At 38.8% G+C, this 26,881-nt stretch overlaps 1 protein-coding gene across 1 annotated transcript in view; it reads left to right on the forward strand.

Moving 5' to 3' along the window:
* The window catches only part of AGGF1 (angiogenic factor with G-patch and FHA domains 1), a 34,831-nt gene that overhangs the window by 3,239 nt on the left and 4,711 nt on the right, over positions 1-26,881 (forward strand). The window contains exons 2-12 of the mRNA NM_018046.5: positions 776-878; positions 1,899-2,101; positions 2,914-3,078; positions 5,889-6,077; positions 12,705-13,035; positions 14,519-14,630; positions 15,294-15,345; positions 19,064-19,165; positions 20,323-20,488; positions 21,872-21,954; positions 25,974-26,101. Coding sequence (NP_060516.2) covers positions 776-878; positions 1,899-2,101; positions 2,914-3,078; positions 5,889-6,077; positions 12,705-13,035; positions 14,519-14,630; positions 15,294-15,345; positions 19,064-19,165; positions 20,323-20,488; positions 21,872-21,954; positions 25,974-26,101 — 1,634 coding nt within the window. The remainder of the gene's footprint in view (positions 1-775; positions 879-1,898; positions 2,102-2,913; positions 3,079-5,888; positions 6,078-12,704; positions 13,036-14,518; positions 14,631-15,293; positions 15,346-19,063; positions 19,166-20,322; positions 20,489-21,871; positions 21,955-25,973; positions 26,102-26,881) is intronic.

Here is a 26,881-nt window from a genome sequence, read left to right on the forward strand (position 1 = left end):
GTTTTATCACCTTTCTCTGTTTAAGCTTTATGTATCATTAAATAAATATTTAAAAGCTTGTTTTTTAGTTGGTTTCTTGTGTGTAGTAGACATTGTCTCACATTGAGGTCCTCTCAGGCTGAGGTGTATTGACTGAGGCAGCGTATTGACCGAGGCAGCATGTTACTTGCTTTTGGGCACTTCCACACACTTGTTTCTCTCTGTCCTATGTAGTAGCATCCTTTTAAGGGTATTTTAGTGTGTGAAGTACATGGAGGACAGATGCCCCTCTCAGGCCGTCACCTTCCCTGTTCTCTTCTGCTACAGTTACTTAATTATAGGACTACTGTTTAATGAAAAAATGTATTAAAGCTTGTAAGTGGCATTAACATATTCAGGTGGATAGTTAATTCCCAGTGGAGAATACCAAATGAGTATTAGATAATCCAGTAGGGATGAGAATTTGTAAATTTTGAATTTTTGAATTCTTTAGAACTGACTTTAAAATGTTAACATAAAAGCATTCTTATTTGTTAGAAATAAAGGACCTTGTTCACAAAGTCTCATTATTTAGTTCGATTTTTGGAGGAGATATTTGGACATTTAGTAAGAGAGATTAGGAATAAAAATGCCTTTTAAATGTATAAAGTAAAATAATAATTTTAGCTTTTCTGAAAGGGAAACTTGCTGCTCTTGACATTTCTCTAAAACAATTATTTGTAACGGTAGGAGACTGGTATATATATTATTAGATTGTTACATGATTTCTTTTTCCTAAAGCCTTGTTTTCTCTCAGGTGGAAGAACTCAGTAAAATACTCCAACGTGGGAGAAATGAAGATAATAAAAAGTCTGATGTAGAAGTACAAACAGAGAACCATGCTCCTTGGTCAATCTCAGGTATTTAGCTTATAGTGAGGATATGCTAACACTGTTACATTCAAATCATGCTAATGTTGCGTTTTCTTTTAATTTAAAATAAACAAAGATCAAGGTAAATGAGAATTGTTAATACTGTTGACGTCTCTCCATATGATAATGGTATTTTCGGATAATCAATTTGTTCTTCTGGAGGAAAAAGTAGAAATGTATTGTCATTCCTGTGATTTCTATAATGTTGCTAATGTTTTCAGTGGCACACTCACTGAGTAATTTTTGGCAGGCAGTTAGCCATCTACTTCCATATCTGCCTTCCTTGTGACCAGGGGCATTTGTTTTCTTGTTGATGTGTTCTAATTAGAATTATGTATAGTATCAGTCTCTCACCCTTGTGGGAATGGTGAGCCCACCACCATGGCCTTATGAATGGCATTATGTTATAAGGCAAAATAGCTGAGATACTGAGTTTTAATATATATGTGTCACAAGAAGAAATCATCTTTCCTATTAAGTTTTGCCTTGCTTCAGTCAGGACATAATTTTTGGCTAAATTGCTAAACATAGCAATAGTGCTAACTTTTCTTATCTGCATGATACGTTTTAAAAAGTCTGCATGGGGAGAGAAATTTGCCAAAAAATAAATCAATCCCTAATTCCTTGCCTTTATTTCATTATCAGTTGATAAGCAACAGTATTAAGGTATCCAGTTAGAAGTTAAGAGTTAAGTTTTTTAAATAGAACACAACCTATCTACAGATTTTTATTTTACTCTTGCTGTAGAAAATGTAACCAACTTACCTTTTTTTTTTCTTTTTAACTGACAGCTAGGGTCTTGAAGGAGACATTAGAATCAAAGATACACACTTCTGCAGATTTATCTGTGCCATCTGTTTTAATCTTTTAAAATTTGTACAGTTGTAAAAATCATGATTTATTTGAAGTATGTGCTTTTTGTGTTTAAATGCCAGTGTTTTGTAGTTAAGTCCTTTTTATATACATTATTCTAATATGATACGATTTCACTTCATTTTTTTGCTACAGATTATTTTTATCAGACGTACTACAATGACGTTAGTCTTCCAAATAAAGTGACTGAACTGTCAGATCAACAAGATCAAGCTATCGAAACTTCTATTTTGAATTCTAAAGACCATTTACAAGTAGAAAATGATGCTTACCCTGGTACCGATAGAACAGAAAATGTTAAATATAGACAAGTGGACCATTTTGCCTCAAATTCACAGGTAATAAAATGCTAAACATGAAACTGTTGATGCCCAAGAACCTGTCCTTCTTTGTTGTTATTATGTGGAAAGATAGACTTCTTTGGTCCGTCACAGCATATATAAGGGTTATAAACATTCTTATGTGTAATTATGCAAAGAATGTTGTAGTTTTTCCAAAACCAGAATTAGAACTTCTTCATATATGTAGTGGTTTTCCTACTACATTGTGTTCCAAAATTTTGTGATCTACATAAACTAAAACAAAATTTGTCCAGATATTTTGACTGAACAAAAGAACTGTGGACAACAATACCACATTTACACCTAAAAAAATTTTAATGTTCCTTTATGTCAGATACCCTGCCACTATTCAAATTTCCCTGAATCTATAAATTTGTTTTTATAGTTTGTTTGAATTAGGATCCCTATTGTGTTTGATATATCTCATTTAATCTACAGTTTTCTCCTTCATTTGTCTTTTTGAAATTTTTTTTCCAATTGAACATATAATCATTGAAGAACCTAGATCTTTGTCTTAGCCAATATTTCAGGGTCTGTATTTTGTGGATGGCTTCCCTGTGGCATCATACATTTATTCTCGAATAATTGTCACTCATTTTTAGTGCCTTCAAAACTGGGTCAAAGTTGAAGTTACTGACACACTAGTAAATGTTGTAATAAGTGGTTCAAGTCATAATTGATAGTCATGCTTTTCCTTTGTAGAAATTGAAGTCGTTACTTAAACATAGTCTCAGGTCTTGAGTTCAGCCAACTTTTTAATTGATATACAGAAGCTTTTGTCTTATTTGGCATGACTATATCTTTTATAGGAGCCAGCATCTGCATTAGCAACAGAAGATACCTCCTTAGAAGGCTCATCATTAGCTGAAAGTTTGAGAGCTGCAGCAGAAGCGGCTGTATCACAGACTGGATTTAGTTATGATGAAAATACTGGACTGTATTTTGACCACAGCACTGGTTTCTATTATGATTCTGTAAGTATCTCAGACCTTTTTGTTTTGTTTTGTTTTTGAGACAGTCTCCCTCTGTCACCCCGGCTGGAGTGCAGTGGAGTGATCTCAGCTCACTGCAACTTTCACCCCCCAGGTTCAAGTGATTCTTATGTCTCAGCATCCCAAGTAGCTGGGATTACAGGCATGCACCACCACACCCTGCTAATTTTTTGTATTTTTAGTAGAGGCAGGGTTTCGCCATGTCGGCCAGGCTGGTCTCGAATTACATCTCAGACCTTTTAATACTGTATGATACATACTCAGTGCCTGATATCAAATATTAAACCCTAAGCCGAAGTAAGAAAGCAAAAAGCTGCATTTAAAATTATATTTGACTCAAAACTATTTGACAGAAGAATTCTAAAATAGCTTATGATGCTACACTTCTAAGTTTTTAAAATAAGGTTAAGGTTAAAATAAATTTTATTGTGATTATTATAGACAATGTTTTGGAGAAGTCTTTATGTATAAAAATAACAGACAAAAATACTGGAGCTTTTGTTAATAAAAGCAGATAGTTAACTACATCGTAAATATTTTAGAACCTAAACCAGTATTTTTTTCATAGAATTAATAGAGAAGTGAGGTTAATTTTAGGCTTGGAATGAGAATTTTAAAAATTATATCAAATACTTTATGAATTCATTTTAGGCCACATAAGGAGACTTCTTTCTTGAATTCTTAGTAGTATGTTTATTATTAGCCAGTGTTTTATATCCTGTGCCTTTTAACTATTTCACTTTAAACATTCAGTCTGTTGGCTAGGCATGGTGGCTCACTCCTTGTAATCCTAGCACTTTAGGAGGCTGAGGCAGGTGGATTGCTTGAGTCGAGTGCAAGACCAGCCTGGGCAACACAGTGAGACTCTTTCTATAAAAAATTTTAAAAGTCAGCTGGATGTAGTGGCTCACCCTCTAGTCCCAGCTACTCAGGAGGCTGATGTGGGAGCGTCGCTTGAGCTGGGAAGATGGAGGCTGCAGTGAGCCATGATTGCACCACTGCCCTCCAGACTAGGTGACAGAGTGAGACCCTGTCTCAAAAAACAAGCAAACAAAAATCAATCTGTTAGCAATGAGAACTAGGGAATTAATATGGGATCTAAAATATAATGGACCACTGACTAGGATAGAACCAGAAAATAAAGTTCTTGATTTATAATACAGTGTTATAGCTGTTGAAGTCTAATAATTATATTTCGTTGAAGATTTGATGACAATGATAGAACTCAGTCACATACCTCAAACTCAAGAATCTAGTAATGTAATCTGGTTTTCTGAGGAATTATAGAATGTGGTACACAAAAGTGGAGTTGACGTTCATCATTCCTGTTACTGGAACTATTGTTATCTAGAGAACATAAGATAATACTAAATATCTCAATTAACATAAGAGGTGTCATTAGTTTGTCAATCTGCATATGGTAAACTGTAAGTCCTTTGTAAAGAGAGGGTTTTCTTTCATGGGGGTTGCTAATTGACAATGCTAATTAATAACCAGGAAATTAATGTTTAAACACTTATCCAAAGGGAGTAGTTATTTAGTTTCTAGGAAAACAATAGTTTCAAGTAGACATTAGTCTTTGTCAATCTTCTGCCTGTCTTTCTGTATCTTTTCTCTTGACATCAGTTGTTTTGTAAATGGTTAGTACGTTCTGCAGGTTATATTTCTGAGTAAATTAGGAACTTCATTGTGTTGCCATTTTCATTGTGCTAATATTTTAATAAATTTTTTTTATATTTTGAAAATGTCTATATTTTGGACTGATAAACAGATTTAAAAGGTTTGAATTATAAAAGTTCCATTATTACTAGAAATAAAGATTGGAAAGCCTCCACTCAGTTTCTTAGTTAAGAGAAAGATGGTGAGAAATCTAAATATTTTTTGTAAGAGATCTGCAAAATGCATGGATTAAAGACAATAAATTGCAAGTGTCAATAGTTAGAAAAATAAATTATTCTTTTTCAGGAAGTTTTAGTTGCTCAATCTCAGTACATTAAAGATGTTTCCGGGTCTGGTCTGCATGGATTTAGGATGTAAATAAAATATAGACTGTTCAATTAAATTTGGTTTTAGAGTACTGGCCAGTATATCATAAATATAGGTGATTACCTAATTTTATCTTTCTGGTTTTTAAATCTGTAATTTGCCAAATTCATTTATGCATGGTTGCTTGTAAGTCTTATTTACTATAGAACTGATTAATTAGTGGAGACAGTTTATTGATTGCATTTTATAGAATGTTATTTTTTGGTATGCATGAACTTTATTTTCAAAATTTTCTTCTCTAATTTTAAGTTATGAACATCAAAAGACAAATCTTTGTTTTATGACATTGAGAGGAGGGTTTAGGGGTTTATACTGCCACACCATTATTGTGCAGTCATTAAGAATCAGGAGTCTAGAATTGCGCTCATATGGTCAGCTTTTTCTTATGCTTGCTTTAGTTTTCATGCCTTTAAAAGTATTATCAATTTTTTTAATGTATTAAGTGGAACCATATGAAATTGCTGTTTCTTATAAGTTAAAAGTGGTCAAGTATTGACAATTTTATATGATTAAATTTAATATTTAGATTTACTTGTTTCTCACACTAGGAAAATTAGATCAGTTATTGAATGGTAAAGTATTTTGGAAGATTAAAGCATTTTTTATTGTTATCTTTAATTCATTGTCTTCTGAAAATACTATAGTTGTTCAAAGAAATATTTACCACATTTGAATGTATTTGGCATTTTCGTTAAGTTTATTTTATCTTACATGAATAGAATTTATTTTTTTCTTGACTTTCAAAGGAAAATCAACTCTATTATGATCCTTCCACTGGAATTTATTACTATTGTGATGTGGAAAGTGGTCGTTATCAGTTTCATTCTCGAGTAGATTTGCAACCTTATCCGACTTCTAGCACAAAACAAAGTAAAGATAAAAAATTGAAGAAGAAAAGAAAAGATCCAGATTCTTCTGCAACAAATGAGGAAAAGGTAATGTCTTTACAATTTTAAAAATTGACATAATGGTGATAACATGATAATTAAGACAAAATTTTTTATGAAACTGACAATCATTCAATAACTCTGCATTTCAAACATACCCATTAAGATAACCTAGGAAAGTTTAGATGGAGCAAACATGGACTTTTTCATAAACTCTGTCACTAGAAATAGAAAGCATTTCTTAAAATTTGAAGGAGATAGATTAAGGTCAGATAAAATATCTCGTATATAGTTTGGAAGAAGAATTCAGATCCTCAGTTGATAAGTTGATGTCAATGCACAGTTCATAATAAAAGATAAACACAGTTTATAGGTAGACATAGATACAGGTTCAACTTTCTTAGTTATGTGGAGCAATTTTTTACTTACTAGGACAATTTTTTTTTTTTTTTTTGAGACAGAGTTTCACTCTTGTTGCCCGGGCTGGAATGCAATGGCGTGATCTCAGCTCACCGCAACCTCCGCCTCCCAGGTTCAAGTGATTCTCCTGCCTCAGCCTCCCGAGTAGCTGGGATTACAGGCATGCACCAACACGTCTGGCTAATTTTTTTGTAATCTTAGTAGAGACGGGGCTTCTCCATGTGGTCAGGCTCGTCTCGAACTCCTGACCTCAGCTGATCCTCCTGCCTCTGCCTCCCAAAGTGCTGAGATTACAGGCATGAGCCACCGCACCCGGCCAGGAAAATATTAAAAAAAAAAAAAAAATCCATTGCTGACAACTGTGGAGTGAGATAACATATTTATTAGGATTAATAGTTTAAATGGCCTGCAAGACAATGGTTAAGAAAGCGATAGTTACATTTAATTTAAAAAAGTATTATGTAGGCTTTCAGATGGTACTTGTAAAGACTAAGGGGAACCCCAAAAATGCTTATGATGATGCAATGTTAAATTGAAAGAAGGAAAATATAAAAAGTTAACAGTGTTCTTTATTTCTACTCTCTAAACAGGTAAGTTTGGTGGTTTATAGGTTATAAAGGAGGCTTGTTTGTTTTATTGATATTTTATGAACTGTGGCAACTATTTGATATCTTACTCTTGAAATTTTATCTCATGGTTTCCTGTCCTGTCCTTTCCTGTCCTATCTCTGTCCTGTCTTGTCCTTCTGTCCTGTCCTGTTCTGTCCTTCTGTCCTGTCCTGTTCTTTTTTGAGACAGGGTCTTGCTCTGTCACCCAGGTTGAGTGCAGTGGTGCCATCATGGCTCACTGCATCCTCGACCTCCTGAGCTCAAGTGATCTGCCTACCTCAGCCTCCCAAAGTGCTGGGATTATAGGCGTGAGCCACTGTGCCAGCCAGTTTTTCTTTTCTTAACCAAAGAAAAATTACTTGATACTAAATTGTAAAGTTCACATAAGGAATTAGGATTCTGTTAGATTTTTTCTGTTCTCCTATTTGATTTGCTTCTGTTCTATTTTTTTGTGAACAATACTTAGGAATAGAAGAGTATGTGACTAAAATACTAAAAATCAGTTTTCTGTTTGCTTTCAAGATCTCTGTTTTAATGGCTTGTGCTTGTTACTAGTGGTTTGATTGTTTGAAAGGCTAGGTTGTAGGTCGGGTGTGATGGCTTATGCCTGTAATCCCAGCAATTTGGGAGGCCGAGGCAGGCGGGTTGCCTGAGGTCAGGAGTTCAAGACCAGCCTGGCCAACATGGTGAATCCCCGTCTCTACTAAAAATACAAAAATTAGCCAGGTGTGGTGGCAGATGCCTGTAATCCCAGCTGCTTGGGAGGCTGAGGCAGGAGAATCGCTTGAACCTGGGAGGCGGAGGTTGCAGTGAGCCAGGATCGCACCACCACACTGCAGCCTGGGCAACAGAGCGAGACTCCATCTCAAAAAAAAAAAAAAAAAAAAGAAGAAGGCTAGGTTGTGAAAGCACCTCTCCCTAACAATAGAAGAAGAATATGTAGGGCTCCTCAAATGGCCTTGCCTGAAAAACTAGAGAATAGACATGGAAAGCATTCTGTGATATTTTGGTCCAGCCTCGCTCCCATAACTACTCATCTTTGCCATTCTTCTTTGAAAATGTGCGAATTCCAAGACAAGAACTTTTTTTATTTATTTATTTATTTATTTATTTATTTTTAATTTATTTTTTTATTGATAATTCTTGGGTGTTTCTCACAGAGGGGGATTTGGCAGGGTCATGGGACAATAGTGGAGGGAAGGTCAGCAGATAAACAAGTGAACAAAGGTCTCTGGTTTTCCTAGGCAGAGGACCCTGCGGCCTTCCGCAGTGTTTGTGTCCCTGGGTACTTGAGATTAGGGAGTGGTGATGACTCTTAACGAGCATGCTGCCTTCAAGCATCTGTTTAACAAAGCACATCTTGCACCACCCTTAATCCTTTTAACCCTGAGTGGACACAGCACATGTTTCAGAGAGCACAGGGTTGGGGGTAAGGTCACAGATCAACAGGATCCCAAGGCAGAGGAATTTTTCTTAGTGCAGAACAAAATGAAGTCTCCCATGTCTACTTCTTTCTACACAGACACGGCAACCATCCGATTTCTCAATCTTTTCCCCACCTTTCCCGCCTTTCTATTCCACAAAGCCGCCATTGTCATCCTGGCCCGTTCTCAATGAGCTGTTGGGCACACCTCCCAGACGGGGTGGTGGCCGGGCAGAGGGGCTCCTCACTTCCCAGTAGGGGCGGCCGGGCAGAGGCGCCCCTCACCTCCCGGACAGGGCGGCTGGCTGGGCGGGGGGGCTGACCCCCCCCACCTCCCTCCCGGACGGGGCGGCTGGCCGGGCGGGGGGCTGACCCCCCCCACCTCCCTCCCGGACGGGGCGGCTGGCCGGGCAGAGGCGCCCCTCACCTCCCGGACGGGGCGGCTGGCCGGGCGGGGGGGCTGACCCCCCCCCACCTCCCTCCCGGACGTGGCGGCTGGCCGGGCGGGGGGCTGACCCCCCCACCTCCATCCCGGACGGGGCGGCTGGCTGGGCAGAGGGGCTCCTCACTTCCCAGTAGGGGCGGCCGGGCAGAGGCGCCCCTCACCTCCCGGACGGGGCGGCTGGCCGGGCAGGGGGGCTGACCCCCCCCACCTCCCTCCCGGACGGGGCGGCTGGCCGGGCGGGGGCTGACCCCCCCACCTCCCTCCCGGGCGGGGCGGCTGGCCGGGCGGGGGGCCGACACCCCCACCTCCCTCCCGGGCGGGGCGGCTGGCCGGGCGGGGGGCCGACACCCCCACCTCCCTCCCGGGCGGGGCGGCTGGCCGGGCGGGGGGCCGACCCCCCCACCTCCCTCCCGGACGGGGCGGCTGGCCGGGCGGGGGGCCGACCCCCCCACCTCCCTCCCGGACGGGGCGGCTGGCCGGGCAGAGGGGCTCCTCACTTCCCAGTAGGGGCGGCCGGGCAGAGGCGCCCCTCACCTCCCAGACGGGGCGGCTGGCCGGGCGGAGGGCTGACCCCCCCACCTCCCTCCCGGACAGGGCGGCTGGCCGGGCGGGGGGCTGACCCCCCCACCTCCCTCCCGGACGGGGCGGCTGGCTGGGCAGAGGGGCTCCTCACTTCCCAGTAGGGGCGGCCGGGCAGAGGCGCCCCTCACCTCCCAGACGGGGCGGCTGGCCGGGCGGAGGGCTGACCCCCCCACCTCCCTCCCGGACAGGGCGGCTGGCCGGGCGGGGGTCTGACCCCCCCACCTCCCTCCCGGACGGGGCGGCTGGCCGGGCAGAGGGGCTCCTCACTTCCCAGTAGGGGCGGCCGGGCAGAGGCGCCCCTCACCTCCCAGACGGGGCGGTTGGCCGGGCGGAGGGCTGACCCCCCCACCTCCCTCCCGGACGGGGCGGCTGGCCGGGCGGGGGGCTGACCCCCCCACCTCCCTCCCGGACGGCACGGCTGGCCAGGCGGGGGGCTGACCCCCCCCCCCCCGGATGGCACGGCTGGCCGGGCGGGGGGGCTGACCCCCCACCTCCCTCCCGGATGGGGCGGCTGGCCGGGCGGGGGGCTGATCCCCCCCACCTCCCTCCCGGACGGGGTGGCTGCCGGGCGGAGACGCTCCTCACTTCCCAGATGGGGTGGCTGCCGGGCGGAGAGGCTCCTCACTTCTCAGAGTGGGCAGCTGCCGGGCGGAGGGGCTCCTCACTTCTCAGACGGGGTGGTTGCCAGGCAGAGGGTCTCCTCACTTCTCAGACGGGGCGGCCGGGCAGAGACGCTCGTCACCTCCCAGACGGGGTCTCGGCCGGGCAGAGGCGCTCCTCACATCCCAGATGGGGCGGCGGGGCAGAGGCGCTCCCCACATCTCAGACAATGGGCGGCCGGGCAGAGACGCTCCTCACTTCCTAGATGTGATGGCGGCTGGGAAGAGACGCTCCTCACTTCCTAGATGGGATGGCGGCCGGGCGGAGACGCTCCTCACTTTCCAGACTGGGCAGCCAGGCAGAGGGGCTCCTCACATCCCAGACGATGGGCGGCCAGGCAGAGACACTCCTCACTTCCCAGACAGGGTGGCGGCCGGGCAGAGGCTGCAATCTCGGCACTTTGGGAGGCCAGGGCAGGCGGCTGGGAGGTGTAGGTTGTAGTGAGCCGAGATCACGCCACTGCACTCCAGCCTGGGCACCATTGAGCACTCGACAAGAACTTTTAAGAAAAATCCTGTTGGAATTTTGAGAATTTCCTGAGGATTCTAAAAGGTACCTGTGAGGCCAAGAGAGTATCTTCATCTGTTTTCTTTATTTTTAAAGATATTTTTGAGCCTCACTTTTTGTAGGTGAAGGTTATGTGGAAGGAAGACAGTAGGGGAGATAGGAGTAAATAATTTGAAATATACATATGTGCCTCAGTGCCCATAAATAAGCCCTCCTTTCTTTTCACTTAATGACTATCTAATGTTCTGTACTGGCAAATAGCTTTCCCTGCATATGTTGTTCAGTAAGTAATAAATATACAAGATTGGAAACTGCTTTTTTAAGAGTATATACAGATAGGGAACTTTTTTGCTATAATTTTATAATGTAAAAGCTCCTCATGGTTTTTCAGCTCCTTGCCCTTGTTCTTGTTCTGGGTGAATTTGTATTGCTAGAAGTGTGTATAATTTATCACACTGTGAATGTTTAGCCAGTCTCCAAGCTGAACTTACGCTGTTATCAAAGATAGGTATGTGAGGTGGATGGATCATGAGGTCAAGAGATCGAGACCAGTCTGGCCAACATGGTGAAACCCCATCTCTACTAAAAATAAAAAAATTACCTGGGTATGGTGGTGCGCATGCCTGTAGTCCCAGCTACTCGGGAGGCTGAGGCAGTAGAATCTCTTGAACCTGGGAGGTGGAGGTTGGAGCGAGCCGAGATCGCGCCACTGCACTCCAGCCTGGGCGACAGAGCGAGACTCCGTCTCAAAAAAAAAAAAAAAGAAAGAAAGGTGTGTGAGATGCTCTCATATTTTATAAAATAACAGAAGAGCATATGAATTCGCCTCATGTTGCTCTGAGGTAGAAAGAAAAGTGAGAGTGCGTTAGAAACCAAGGGAAAAAAATGGAAAATAATTATTTACTTTTTCTAAGGCTGAAATGATAGATTTGACCATTGTATAACACGGTGACTATTGTTAATAACAATGTGTTGTATTATTGCAAACTGCTGAGAGCAAATTTTAAGTTTCTTACCACAGAAAAATAAGTATTTGAGGTAATGTACATGTTAATTAGCTCAATTTAACCACTGTACATTGTGTACGTATTTCAAAACTTCATGTTGTACATGATAAAAATACATCATTTTTGTTAATTAAAAAATGTTCATTTATTATAAGGCATATCAACTATAAATGTACAATAAATAATAAAAGACTTATGCCAGGCAAGTTAAAATTTTGGAATAAGATAGTCACAGTTAATTTGTACTTTAAACTTTTATGTATTATCAAGCTGAATCTGAAGTACTAAATTTTAGCAAAACTACAATTTTGCTACATATTGAGTACATTTGGATCTTTAAATTCATGTCATAAGTAAAGCTAATTCTGTATTTTATTTGTGTTGACTAGCTAATTGATTACCAGTTTAAAAAGAAAATTTAGAATAGGTATTCTTTAGGCCTGCACTATCCAGTAAGGTAGCCAGCAGCTCCATGTGGCTGTTGAGCACTTGAAGTTTTGCTAATCCAAACTCAAATGTGCTGTTAAGTGTAAAATACACTCTGGATGTTGCAGACTATGTAAACTATCTCATTAATAATTTTACTTTTTAAATGTGGCTACTAGAAAATGTAAAAGTACAAATATGGTTTGTGTTACATTTTTATTGGACACCATTGGTCTAGGCTATCCCATAGTCCAGGCAGTATGTGATGAGGGCCTGAACTAGGAATGTTAAGACATTGAGAATAGAGAGACAGATTTGGATATATTTTGAGAAAAGTCTGTAGCACTTCGTAATTTTATATATGGTTAAGGGGATCTCAGAGATAACTATAGGATTTTTAATTTGGATAATAAGAAGATGGTAATATCATTAACCAAGAAAGGAAATGTGAGAAGGAGAGGGGGAACAGATTGTAACCATTGTTATTTTACTGACACATATCTTCACGAATTCGTTGAAACTTGATGTAATGTTATAAGATAGTGATGTTTAAGAGTATTCTCCCCTGTTCCCTCGTATCTACCCACCCTTCTCCAGGATTTGAACTCAGAGGATCAAAAAGCCTTCAGTGTTGAACATACAAGCTGCAATGAGGAAGAAAATTTCGCAAATATGAAAAAGAAGGCCAAAATAGGCATTCATCACAAAAATAGTCCCCCCAAAGTCACTGTTCCAACTAGTGGAAATACTATAGAGTCTCCTCTTCATGAAAACATCTCTAATTCAACATCATTTAAAGATGAGAAAATCATGGAGACTGATAGTGAACCAGAGGAAGGTGAAATTACAGACTCTCAGACTGAGGATAGTTATGACGAAGCCATTACCAGTGAAGGCAATGTAACTGCAGAAGATAGTGAGGATGAAGGTGAGTAAATAATCATTATTTAAGTAAATAGCCCAGTCTGGTAACTATAAAAGAGCAAAACCATTAAAAATGTTAGTGAGTTGTAGTATATCTGCCAGAAAGTAAACATTATTTTAATGATGTTATTGAAAATGTTGTGGGTTGCCACTTGGTTATTCTTAGAGAGTAGGATGTGAATAAATGACTAATACTTAGACCTTCAGAAGGTTTCATTGTATTGAATGGCATAGTCAGTAGAATACAAAGCCAGGTTACCTGGATTCTAATCTTAAAATATAGATTAAGGCTGTTTTAGTGGGTTAGATATTTGTAGTCTACTTTTGTAACTGAGAGAGAAAAACAAGTTGTCTTTAAAAAGTATACATTATGAATTCAGCTACATGGATATTATGGTAAATCTAATTTTTTTTTACTTGAATATATAAAGACATACTTTTAAAACACAGGATTTCATATTACAGTTGGCCTTCTGTATCCATGGGTTCTACTTTAGTGGATTCAAGCAACCTCAGATCAAAAATATTCAGGGAAAAAAATGGATAGCTACATCTGTACTGAACATGTACACACTTTTTTTCTTGTTATTGTCCCCTAAATATGGTGTACCTATTTATATAGCATTTACATTGTATTAGGTGTAAGTAATCTAGAGATGATTTAAGTTATACAGAAGGATGCACATAAGTTATATGCAAATACGATACAATTTATATAAGGACTTGAACATCCATAGATTTTGGCATATGAGGAGGGATCTTGGAACTAATCCCCCACAGATACCGAGGGCCAACTGTGTAGTATATGAGCTTACTTTGTTCTTTGGTTCTCAATGGCATTTCTCTTGCATTTTTTTTGAGACAGAGCCTTGCTCTATTGCCCAGGCTGGAGTGCAGTGGCGCAGTCTCGGCTTACTGTAACCTCCGCCTCCTGGGTTCAAGTGATTCTCTTGCCTCAGCCTCCCAAGTTGCTGGGACTACAGGCGCATGTCACCACGCACACCCAGCTAATTTTTGTATTTTTAGTAGAGACAGGGTTTGACCATGTTGGCCAGGGTGGTCTTGAACTCCTGACCTCAGGTGATCTGCCTGCGTCGGCCCCCCAAAGTGCTGGGATTATAGGTGTGGACCACTGTGCCTGGCCTTTTTTTTTTTTTTTTTAATGGACTCAATTTTTATAACTTAAAATAATATAAAAATATTTGGGATTTTTTCAGATTCTGAAACCTTAAAAAAGAAAGAGTTGATTATTTGATAACTGTGATAGATGCTAAATATGCAGCAACCTTTATGTGGATCACTTTAATAACAGTGTTAAGCCTTACCCATTGCTGCGTATTATACAGCAGAATTTAAGAAGTTTGTTTTAGTCAGAATTAAGATTTTTGACCAACACATTTTTATTTTATGGATGCCTCCTAGTTATCCCTATGAAGTTCTTTTTCATAGTAGTTAAATTAATATTTACTCACTTCTTTCCTTGGCAGATGAAGACAAAATTTGGCCCCCATGTATTAGAGTAATTGTCATTAGATCACCTGTGTTGCAGATAGGATCACTCTTTATCATTACTGCTGTAAACCCTGCTACAATTGGAAGGTAAAATGGTTAATATTATTATATCATTCTTTCAGTTATTTCAGAAAGGCTTTATTAAGAGCATGTATTTTTGTTTGTTTGTTTGTTTTTTGTTTTTGAGACAGAGTTGTGCTCTGTTGTCCAGGCTGGAGTGCAGTGGCACGATCTCGGCTCATTGCAACCTCCGCCTCCTGGGTTCAAGCAGTTCTCCTGCCTCAGCCTCCTGAGTAGCTGGGATTACAGGCGTGCACCACCACGCCCAGCTGATTTTTGTGTTTTTAGTAGAGACGGGGGTTTCACCATGTTGGCCAGACTGGTCTCGAACTCCTCAAGTGATCCACCCACCTCAGGCTCCCAAAGTGCTAGGATTACAGGCACATAAGCTGCCACGCCTGGCCATTATGTTAAGCATTATTCTATGTGCTGTGGATACAAAGAGGACTAATGCAAAATGTCTACCCAAAGGAAGCACAGTCTAGGGGGAAAGAAGACATGAGTAAATAATCACTGTGTGAAAGCACAGGAAATCTAGAGTAGCAGTAAGGAAACTGGATAATCCATAACCAGGAGATTTACTGTTGATAGACGTGTATTTTAACATTATCTGTTTTTTAAAATTCTTTCCATGTCACTTTATATAATATGCTTCAAAAATTATTAAAGACACTTTACTTAACTCTGCAGAGAAAAGGATATGGAACATACTCTCCGAATCCCTGAAGTTGGTGTCAGTAAGGTAAGCTCTTTGATTTATCAAATATAGTCCCCTAGATGTAATTTTTTATATTATTATTACAGTAGAAAGCTTAGGGATTTTTCTCATTTAATAGGAAGGTTAACATGCAGTGTAGTAATGGTAATAAAGGCAGTGCAGATCTGTTTATTCCAGTGCTTGAGAAAATAATTCTTTATCACAATTTGAATAAATAAAATTATGTTTATTTTTAAGAATCTGGACAAGAGTAGAAAGCATATGAAGTCTTAAAGTAGTACCCACTTAATGAATATTTATTGAGTGAAATAAATAGGCTACATTTTATGACCTTTAAAAAATGAATCTTACCTGGCTTCTGGCTACTTTAGTAGGTGGTTACTTTGAGCCGGAGGATTTCACAACCCAAGAATATATCCTATACCACTCAGGGTTCTTGTTTAAAACTTCTCCTAATTGAGCATCTAATGGTTTCAGGAAAAAGAACAATTGAGTTTTCAAAACAAATAGAACAGAATTGCAACTCAAGTTATAAGTAGAAAACAACTAAAGGTTTAGCTGCTGAGATTCTTTATATATTTTTACTTTTTTTTTTTTTTTTTTTGAGATAGGATTTCACTCTGTTACCCAGGCTGGAGTACAGTGATGTGATCACGACTCACTGCAGCCTCATCTTCCCGGGTTCAAGCAATCCTCCCGCCTCAGCCCCGAAGGTAGCTGGGACTACAGGCATACTCTACCATGCCCAGCTAATCTTTATGTATTTCATAGAGATGCAGTTTCACCTGGGTGTTCGCTAGGCTGGTCTCAAACTCCTGGGCTCAAGTGATCTTGCCTCTGCCTCCCAAAGTGTTGGGATTACAGGCGTGAGCCACCGCGTCTGGCTGAGGCTCTTTATATTTCTCTTTCCTGTACTATGTTTTCTGTGTTTTCTCTCTCCTCTCTTATGGTTGTTATCTTTTTTCCTGTTTTGCTTTTCTCTTTTTTTGACCTTCCATTGTTCCCATTTTGCTTTTATTTAACGGACTGTAATGTGGACCTAAAGTAGATTTTATGTGATGTTTGTCTTTTTGGAATATAATTTCTCATTTTTAATTTGAAAGTCCATTTACTTTCACTTTCTGGGGACTCATTCAGAAAGAGGAAAAAGTCCTCTTAATTTTAATTCTAAGCAGATTATGTTGCTTTTTTACTTTTTTACTATGACCTTGAGTCTCCTGCCTCCAAAAAAATAAAACAACACCTAATCTGTAACTTAAATAGCAAAGCGATCTGAGATCCTTCCCCACCTCCAGTCTAAACCATAGATAGTTCTATGGTGGCTTTTTCTTTTTCTTTGTTTCTTTTTTTTTTTTTTTTTTTTTTTTTTTTTATAGAGACAGGGTCTTAACTGTGTTGCCCAGGCTGGAATGCAGTGGCACGCACCACAGCCTCTGACACCTCCTGGGCTTAAGTGATCCTCCTGCCTCAGTTTCCTGAGTAGCTAGCACTATAGGCACACACCACCACACCAGGCTTCTGGTGGCATTTCTGTTTTTTCTTTCATTTAAACTAACATCCGCTAGTGGGGTGGATAATTTGTTGGTGAAGTCAGTTTGATAGCACATATAACATGTATCCAAATAGATGAAAAACTTTTAAAAAAGAAGCTTAATGTTAGGGGAAAAAACAAGTATTTGACCACTAGATAGAAGACTTTCTGAGTTTAAAAAATGGTAAAAATTACAAAGGACAAAATGATCTTGCTCTTTATATGTTAAGAAACCAATTTAGAAGGCAGACTCGGACAGGCACAACAAATATGACACAATATACATTATTTATTTTTGAAAAGTTCATGCAAATTTATGTTTTCAAACTCCACTGTGACACCAGTAGATAAATGAGCAAAAGATACATCAGGCAGTTCACAGTAAAGGAAATATCATGGTTAATATATGAAAAACCATTTAGTCTTTCTAGTAATCTAAGAAATACAGATGAAGCCAAGGTGTGAATTTTCATTCATCATTTATTAAATATCACTCCTTTTGGGAATGTAATTTAGAAAAGCTTTTTGGAATAGGGTTTGGCAGTACAGAAAGACTTATTCTAAACAATCCAGTTGGAAAAAAGTGTACAAAGGACATAAAAAGAAAATTTACAGAAGAGGAAACCCAAATGGCTAATAAATATTAAGAGTTTGGGGGGTTGGGCGCGGTGGCTTATGCTTGTAATCCCAGCACTTTGGGAGGCTAAGGTAGGCAGATCACGAGGTCAGAAGATCAAGACCATCCTGGCTAACACGGTGAAACCCCATCTCTACTAAAAATACAAAAAATTAGCCAGGTGTGGTGGCGGGTGCCTGTAGTCCCAGCTACTCGGGAGGCTGAGGCAGGAGAATGGCATGAACCTGGGAGGTGGAGCTTGCAGTGAGCCGAGATCATGCCACTGCACTCCGGCCTGGGCAACAGAGCGAGATTCCATCTCAAAAAAAAAAAAAAAGAGTTTTGGTAGTAATCCAGGAAATGCAAGTTAAAATCACAATGATAAGGCAATTTCACACCTCTTAGGCTAGCAAAAATTAAAAATTTTGGCAACATCAAGTTTTGGTTTAGTATACATAGAGCAGCAAGAATTCTCACAGACTGCTGGTGGGAATATGAATTGATACAACCACTTTGGAAAACAGTTATGTAGTAAAGTTGAAGATTTGCTTATGTTATGATTTAGCAATTCCATTCCTAAGTGTGTATTCCAGAGAAACATTTGCATTTTGTACACAAATAGATTGCAGGTACAAGAAGGTTTATAGTAATATTTTTAAAAATAGTAAAACCTTGGAAAAAAACCCTGAATGTCTGTTTTCAGAAGGATGGGTGGATAGATTGTGGTATATCCACACAATGGATTACCATTCAGCAAAATGAATGAACGACAACTCTATAACTGTGTATAACAACTGGATGAACCTCATGACTTAATGTTAAAGAAGCAAAATAAGAGGAATAGATAGAGTGTTATGGAACAAGGAGGGAAAGATTAGTCCTAACTATTGAACATCTTGGAAACTTCTCTGAGAAGTTGGCCTTGAGTGTTTCAAATCACATTTTGTATTAAGAATTTTTGGCCAGGTGTGGTGGCTCATGCTTGTAATCCCAGCACTTTGGGAGGCTGAGGCGGGAGGATCACTTGAGCTCAGGAGTTTGAGACCAGCCTGGGCAACATGGTGAAACCCTGTCTCTACAAAAATTACAAAAATTAACCAGGTATGGTGGCACATGCCTGTGGTCCCAGCTACTCAGGAAGCTGAGGTGGGAGGATCGCTTGAGCCCAGGAGGTCAAGGCTGCAGGAAGCGGTGATCACACCACTGCACTGTAGCCTGGGTGACAGAGCGAGACCCTGTCTCAAAAAAAAAAGTTTTTGATGATATGGACCAAAAAAAAAAAGTTTTTAATGATATGTACAAATACTTACATTAGGTCAAAATTTTTCAAATTATAATCTCTAGTACCAAAGGAGAAGAGGTAGGACATATTCTAAATTTTTCATGGTAATTAAAGGTAGATTTATAGATGACATTTTCTTCTATAGCCTCTGTTTCTACCAGAAGCATATAATAGTTTGTGTTTCTAAAAAAGTATTAAGTATAATAAAATTTAAATTATCAAAGGCTCAAGTTAACATCATCATATCATACAGAAATTGTCCATAGTTTTGAAAAGTATAATAATTAATAATTGCTTGATTTCACTTTCTAAGTTTCATGCAGAAATTTATTTTGACCATGACTTACAAAGTTATGTCCTTGTGGATCAAGGCAGTCAAAATGGCACAATTGTTAATGGAAAACAGATTCTTCAGGTGAGTGTATATGTGTTAATTTGTTACCTGCACATTATTTTTAAACTGATTTTTTTTTATTTCTGAAGGGCATAATCTTTATCATTTGGTTCAGAGTAGAGTTAAGCCCAAATGTGTTACTTCGGAAGGAATTTCCAGAAAGGCTGAAAAAAGTGTATAATCAGTGGGTACTTACTTGGCTGTTGAGTTTTGACTTCTAATTATGTATCTATGCCTTATTTTCAGTTATGACTCCATTGTAAAGCTATTCAGAGTAAGTGTGTAAATGTCTCAATAGCAACTTTGAAGGTCGTCCCTTTTTTTATTGTCTTAATGGAAATGTTACTAAATTGAAAACTGTATTAAAGGGAAAAGCTATGTCTATTCAGTTAACACTTAACATCCTCAGCATGTAGCAAAGTATTTGGCATAAATAAGAAAATATAGGGGCTGGGCGTGTTGGTTCTGACGCCTGTAATCCCAGCACTTTGGGAGCCCGAGGCCAGTGGATCATCTGAGGTTAGGAGTTCAAGACCAGCCTGGCCACCATGGTGAAACCTCATCTCTACTAAAAATACAAAAATTAGCTGGGCGTGGTGGTGTGTGCCTGTTATCCCAGCTACTTGGGATGCTGAGGCAGGAGAATCGTTTGCACCGGGGAGGTGGAGGTTGCAGTGAGCCGAGATCACGCCATTGCACTCCAGCTTGGGCTACAGAGTGAGACTGTCTCAAAAAAAGAAAAAATATAGGAAGGCGGGAGGCCTTATTCTTAGTCTGTAAGAGTAAAAATGGAAATAAAACTGAGTTATCAAGAGAGAAGAAAAGGGAGATGTGATGCATTTATCCCATTCTCTTAACATTTCATCTTTTTTTATTGTGATGATTATATGTTTTGGTAATAGATTGAAGTCTAGAATTGGATATTTCTGATTGGATAGGGAGACTGGTGGGTTTGACAAGTTGCTCAGTTCAGCTATCTTCATCTCCAATAGTAGTACTTTTTTTATGGGTCATTAAGTTGGGGAAGTGTGTGCATGTGTGTATGTGTATGTGTCTATTTCATTTATAGCTATTTTAAATATATTTTAAAAATTATAATCAGACATTACTTACAGTAGATGTAAGGTAACCATAAGTGATTGTTTTGATTTCTGTTTTGTAAAATGTTTCCCCTCTAGCCGAAAACTAAATGTGACCCTTACGTACTTGAGCATGGAGATGAAGTCAAAATTGGAGAAACTGTCTTATCCTTTCACATTCATCCTGGCAGTGATACCTGTGATGGCTGTGAACCAGGGCAGGTTAGAGCCCACCTTCGCCTTGATAAGAAAGATGAATCTTTTGGTATGTGAAACAGATTAAATGTGGCTGTGATAACATTTCTCTTTCATTACCTAAATGTTCTAAAAAACATCAGTCAGCTACTGGCTACATGTCTAATTGATACGATACTGCATTGAGAGATATTTTATACAAAGCTATCAGTCTTGTATCCAGTTGATCTAATAATAGATTGAGATATATTTCGTAAATATTACCAAATGAGACTAAGAAATAACATATATTTGGAAGTTGAGACCTAGGCTAATAGATTATAATTGTAGTTGATTTTTCTGTGTAATAATTTAGCTTCATGATATGTAGCATTGGTCTGCTTTTTGACCAGGAAAGAGATTGATAAGCTCTCTTTCTGCTAATCCAGTTTAGTAGGCTTTTGAGGCAGACTGTAGTGGTAGTCAAATGTACTTAAGAGCAGTTGTAATTGAAAATTGGTAAGAGAGTAGATTTTAAGTGTTTTTACCATACACAAAAAATGATAAGTACATGAAGTAGTAATGGGTATGTTAATGAGGTTGATTTAGCCAGTTAACAGTGTATACCTACATCAAAAATCATGTTGTATACCATATATACAATTTTTATCAATTAAAATAATTTAAAAAGTAATTATGACTTAAGTAATAATTTAATAAAGACTGGTTTCCTTTTGACAGGTATGTATTGATGTAAAAAAAGTCATCCACAGTTGAACTCTGTCATATAATATTAACGTAGGAAATAATAAGCCAAGGCATGAAGGGTTATTGATTGATACGTTTTCTGTCCTATTGATAGCTCGTGCTGTATATTGTCTATGTACCATTATTCTTTATTATAATAGCACTGTAGGATATTACTGTTTTGCTTTCAGCCCAGCCATCGAAAGCTCTTAAAATTTAAATAGATGCTTTGAACTAGTAAGAGGTCATCTTTTTTGACATAAATTTTCCCCCTAAATGCCAAGTTTGCATGTTCATTGTTTATTTTTTGTTTTCTGATACTAATTTGAAAATGAATATGTTGCATTACACAATAACATGAATTTTGGTTTCTCTGGCTTTTATTTTGCATATGGCTATGTTCCTTTGCAAAATTTACTTAATATTTCTGCATTTGAGATTCTATTACAATAATCATATTGAAAAATCGAGATGTTCATTGTTCATTTTGGTAGCTATAAGATTCCTATTATCTGTGGTTTTTGCTTTACTTCTCAATTAGGTTTAGTTACCAAAATGCTGAAAGGACATCATCACAACCCAATATCCTTTATATTAATGTTTATTTCAACTTCTGGTTAATTGGAATGGGTTATATTAGTTTTTTATTAATTAAATAACATTAGTTTTAATTTTGTACAAAATCAGATTTAGTGGCTTTTTTTTAACCAAACTTTTTTTCTTTCAGTTGGTCCAACACTAAGTAAGGAGGAAAAAGAGTTGGAAAGAAGAAAAGAATTAAAGAAAATACGAGTAAAATATGGTTTACAGGTGAGGATGTTGAATATTGTTTCATTTGTTAAGCTGTATATCTGGTTTTGAGTAAAAATGTCTTTAAATATGCTCAGTACATTTTATATATAAATAGTTGTGTAGTATGATTTCGTGATTTGTATTAGTTTACTGTTCTGGTATTCATAACCTAAAAACTATTGAAGTTGGAGTAGAAAAATGATAATAGCCTACATTTGAATATACATTTCTGGTTTTCAGAAAACTTGCATTAAGATGCCTTGACATAACTAGACATGATAGTGTCTGTAGTTTGTAGTCCCTGGTACTTGGGAGGCTGAGGCAAGAAGATCGCTTTAGATCAGGAGTTCAAGGCTGCAGTGAGCTGTGATCACACTTATGAATAGGCTCTGCACTCCAGCCTGGGCAATATAGCGAGATCTTATCTCTACAAAATGATGCCATTGATTGAACAACATAGTTGGAGAACTAATATGACCTGATGTAAAGACTTATTATAATTAAACTGCAGTGATTAAGGTAGTATCATATTGGCATAAAGATAAATGGATGGAACAAAATAATAGTCCAGAAGTAGATCCATGTATATGTGTGGACAATTAATTTTTGATAAAGGTGTGATGGCAGTTTGGTGGAGAAAGAGTGGTCTTTTTTTTTTTTTTTTTTTTGAGACAGAGTCTTACTCTGTCACCCAGGCTGGAGTGCAGTGGCACAATCTCAGCTCACTGCTACCTCTGTCTCCTGGGTTCAAATGATTGTCCTGCCTCAGCCTGACAAGCAGCTGTGATTGCAGGGGCCCGCCACCACGCCCCGCTAATTTTTGTATTTTTAGTAGAGACAAGGTTCACAGCGTTGGCCAGGCTGGTCTTGAACTCCTGACCTCAGGTGATCTGCCCACCTTCGCCTCCCAAAGTGCTGGGATTACAGGTGCGAGCCACTGTGCCCGGCCAAGAGTGGTCTTTTACAACAAATGGTGGTAGAATAATTGGATGGCCTTACCAAAAAAAAAAACACAGACAAAAAGAATGTTGATCCATACCTTGAACCATCTATAAAAATGATCCAAAAGTGGATCATAGATATAAAAGTAAAACCTAAAACTTTAAAACTTCTAGAAACTTTTTTTTTAAAGGCAAAGATTCTAACACCAAAAGCACAATCCTTAAGAACAAATTGATAATCTGTATTTCTTCAAAATTAAAAATTAATGTTTTTCTAAAGACACTATTAAGAGAATGAAAAGACAAGCCACAGCTGGAGAAAATATTTGCAAATCATGTATCTGGTCAAAGACTTCTATATCTAGAATATACAAAAAACTTTCAAAACTTAATAATAAGAAAACAACTCAGTTAAAAAATGGGCCAAAGATTTGAATAGATGCTTCACCAAAGAAGATATGCTGATGGCAAATAAACATCTGAAAAAATGTTCAGTATTATCAGTCTTTAAGGAAATGCAAATTAAAACCACAATGAGATACCACTACACATCTATTAGAATGCCTAAAATTTTCAAAACTGACTATAACAGGTATTGGAAGGGTTGTGGAGGAACTAGAAATCTCATACACTGCTGGTGGGAATGTAAAATGGTGCGGTTGCTTTGGTAGTTTCTTAAAAAGTTAAACATACACCTATTTTACAAGTTAGCCATTCTACTCTGAGATATTTACCCAAGGTAAATGCAACCATATGTGCATAAAAAGACCAGTAAACAAATGTTCATTGCATTTTTTTTTTGAATAACCAAAAACTGAGAAAAACTCAAATGTCTGTCATATATGGATAAGCAAACTATGGTGTTATCTGTATGGTGAAAATACTACTTAGCAATAAAAAAGCAGGAACTAGTAATATAGGCCACAACCTGGATGAATCTCAAAATAGTTATGTTGAGTGAAGCCAGATAAAACACGTGTATGTGCTTCCACTTGTGGAACAATTTCACTATTCACTGGTTTCCAACTTGTCTGAGGTCTGTGAGACGGAACACACTCTCATACAAGTTACATGAAGCAAACTTACTACTTACAAATAGTGAGCAAGAGATGACAGAAGCCTAGGATTTATTGGGAAACCAACCCCCAAAGCTCAGAAAGCTGCCTTCTGGGTGAATGGAGTCTCAACTGTGTGTGCCCTACTTGCACAGCAGTTGAGCAACCCTGGAAAGCATCGCACCTTGGGTTATGTACCTCAGGGTTATTTGACGCACTGGGCTAAAATGTTGAAGGACATCCTGTTTCCAGGTGGGGACTGGAACAGAGCCTGGACTGTTTTAGCCAATCCCTCCTTACCTCAGGATGTTGCATTCCCAGCACATTCTGGTTGGTGTTGAGAACTACAAACAAGAAAGTGGGAAGAACTGTTCTGCACCATTTATGTAAACTTCTAGGAAAGCAAACTAATGTATTGTGACAGAAGGAAGATGAGTGATTGCTTAGACACAAGGGAGGAATGCTACACAGGGAAGGTCTGGAGAGTTGGATTACAAAGAGAGACAAGGACACTTTTGGGAGAGATGGATATGTTTATTATCTTGCTTATGGTGATAGTTTCATAGGTCCATAAATCCCAAAAGCATCTCATTGTACACTAACTATGTATGATTTATTTATATTAATTATACCTCAATAAAGTTGTTTTTTAAAAAAGTTACCACTTAATCCTGTAAATAGACCAGGAAGGCAATTAATTAATATTTCTAGTTTACTTTTGAGAAACTAAAGCTTAGTAGCCCAGCTATTAAATTGTAGAGCTAGATATAGAATCTAGGTCTTAAGTATATTTGTGCTAAATTTTTATACTTCAAGAAGATGTGGAAAAAGAAGTTGCTGCCAAAATAACATATTTTTTCTGTCAAATTGTATCTTTCGTTGTTGTTGCTGTTTTACTTAGGTAGAGAAATCATAGAAAAAAGCAAGATAGGCCAATTTGGGGGGAAAATAGAAGACATTTAAGGAGAGAATAAAATTGTTTTGCCAAAAATTTTAGCTCAATTTCTTTATTGTCTTCTGGAGGAAAAACTTACTAGGATAGATAGTTCTATATTTTTCTTCTCTTTTTAAAAGCAAAATTAATTAAAAGCTTCTGTCGTACCTTCCTTGAGTTGCTCTCCAGTCCCTAGCATCTCTCTGGATGAGTATCATACTTTTTATATAAAGATCAGCAAGTTATAACAAAGGGAAAGGGAAGGCTTCTATGAATGCTGAATTGACTACCCCTTCTTTGTGCCACCACCACACCTTGTGTATACCTTTATTGAACCACTCGTACTGCAACAGGCCAAAGAAAGATTATGCATGTCTTCCCTCTGGCATTCCATTACCTAGCATGGAGCTTGACATACTCTTTTTCTAGGGAATGTTTGTTAAGTGACTAATAAGTCACTTAAATGGAGCTTTATTGAAGCAAAAAACTATTGTTGCCAGGGTAAATGGGTTTTTTAAAAGTCTCTACATTTCTCCCTTCCAAGAAACAGTGTCAAACTACTATAGGTCCCTTGGAACTTTCAGTTCCTTAGAGAAAAGGGGAGATAGATTTTTTTCCCCCCAAACCCCAGGGATTCTGTATTTTTCTTTGAATACTAGTAGTTCATATGACAAGATGAGAACACAGCATTAAGTCAGAATATACTGTTATTTTCACCATGTCATCTTCTTATGTATATGTATGTTGTGGCATAACTTGAAATATAAACATTTTAAAGGGAATAGACTAAAAGTAGCATATCTAATATGACAATTTCTTCATATCTTTTTTTTATAACTTTAATATAAATCAAGTAGAGATGGGGGTCTTGCTGTATTGCTCACACTGGTCTCAAACTCCTGACCTCTAGCTATCCTCTTGCCTCAGCTTCCCAAAATGCTAGGATTATAGGCATGAGCCACCTGTAATTTCTTCATATCATAGCTTGTTTTATTTCATTGTTTATAGAGGCCACATTGAATCATATTCGTTAAGTAAGGCACATGTACAGAAATTGTTTTATTTATCAGCTTTCTTTTCCTGAATGAATATTTTGTGTTTATTAAGAATACAGAATACGAAGATGAAAAGACATTGAAGAATCCAAAATATAAAGATAGAGCTGGAAAACGTAGGGAGCAGGTTGGAAGTGAAGGAACTTTCCAAAGAGATGATGCTCCTGCATCTGTTCATTCGTAAGTTTTGAATTACAGTGGCTCGAAACATCCTTTGTTCATAATAACATTCATAGGGTGGTCTGATGTTCAGGGCTATATATCCTGATAGGTGGCCTATTTATTTGTTTATTTATGAGATGGAGTCTTGCTCCGTCGCCCAGGCTGGAGTGCAGTGGTGTGGTCTCGGCTCACTGCAACCTCCATCTCCCGGGTTCAGGCGATTCTCCTGCCTCAGCCTCCTGAGTAGCTGGGATTACAGATGCGTGCCATCACGCCCAGCTAATTTTTGTGTTTTTAGTAGAGACGGGGTTTCACATGTTGTTGGCCAGGCTGGTCTTGAACTCCTGACCTCATGATCCGCCCACCTTGGCCTCCCAAAGTGTTGGGATTACCGGCGTGAGCTACCACGTCTGGCCAATAAGTGGCCTTAAAATTAACACTTTAACAACAAAATGGAGACACTAAGTCTATTTATACTTTCCACTAATCTTGGAATTCTATTATCCCCTAAAAAATTGCTGAGCAAATACATGAGCACCTGTACTTAAACACACATATATGTATGTTAACAGTCTAGCCACACAGTTGAGTGTATATACTTTTATATGCTAGATATCTAGAAGCCTAGATTGGTAAGAACTTGGTATGGACTGGTATTTTTTAATAATTCTTTTAATACTCAAATACTTTTGTTCTTAATGACCCTGAAATATAATTTTTCTTATTTATTTTTCTCTGATTCAGTTTTCTCTTGGCAAAGTAGTCTGGATAAAAATGAAAAAGGTGATTTTTGAGGTT

Source organism: Homo sapiens, chromosome 5 (genome assembly GCF_000001405.40).
Source record: "Homo sapiens chromosome 5, GRCh38.p14 Primary Assembly".
Taxonomy (NCBI): domain Eukaryota; kingdom Metazoa; phylum Chordata; class Mammalia; order Primates; family Hominidae; genus Homo; species Homo sapiens.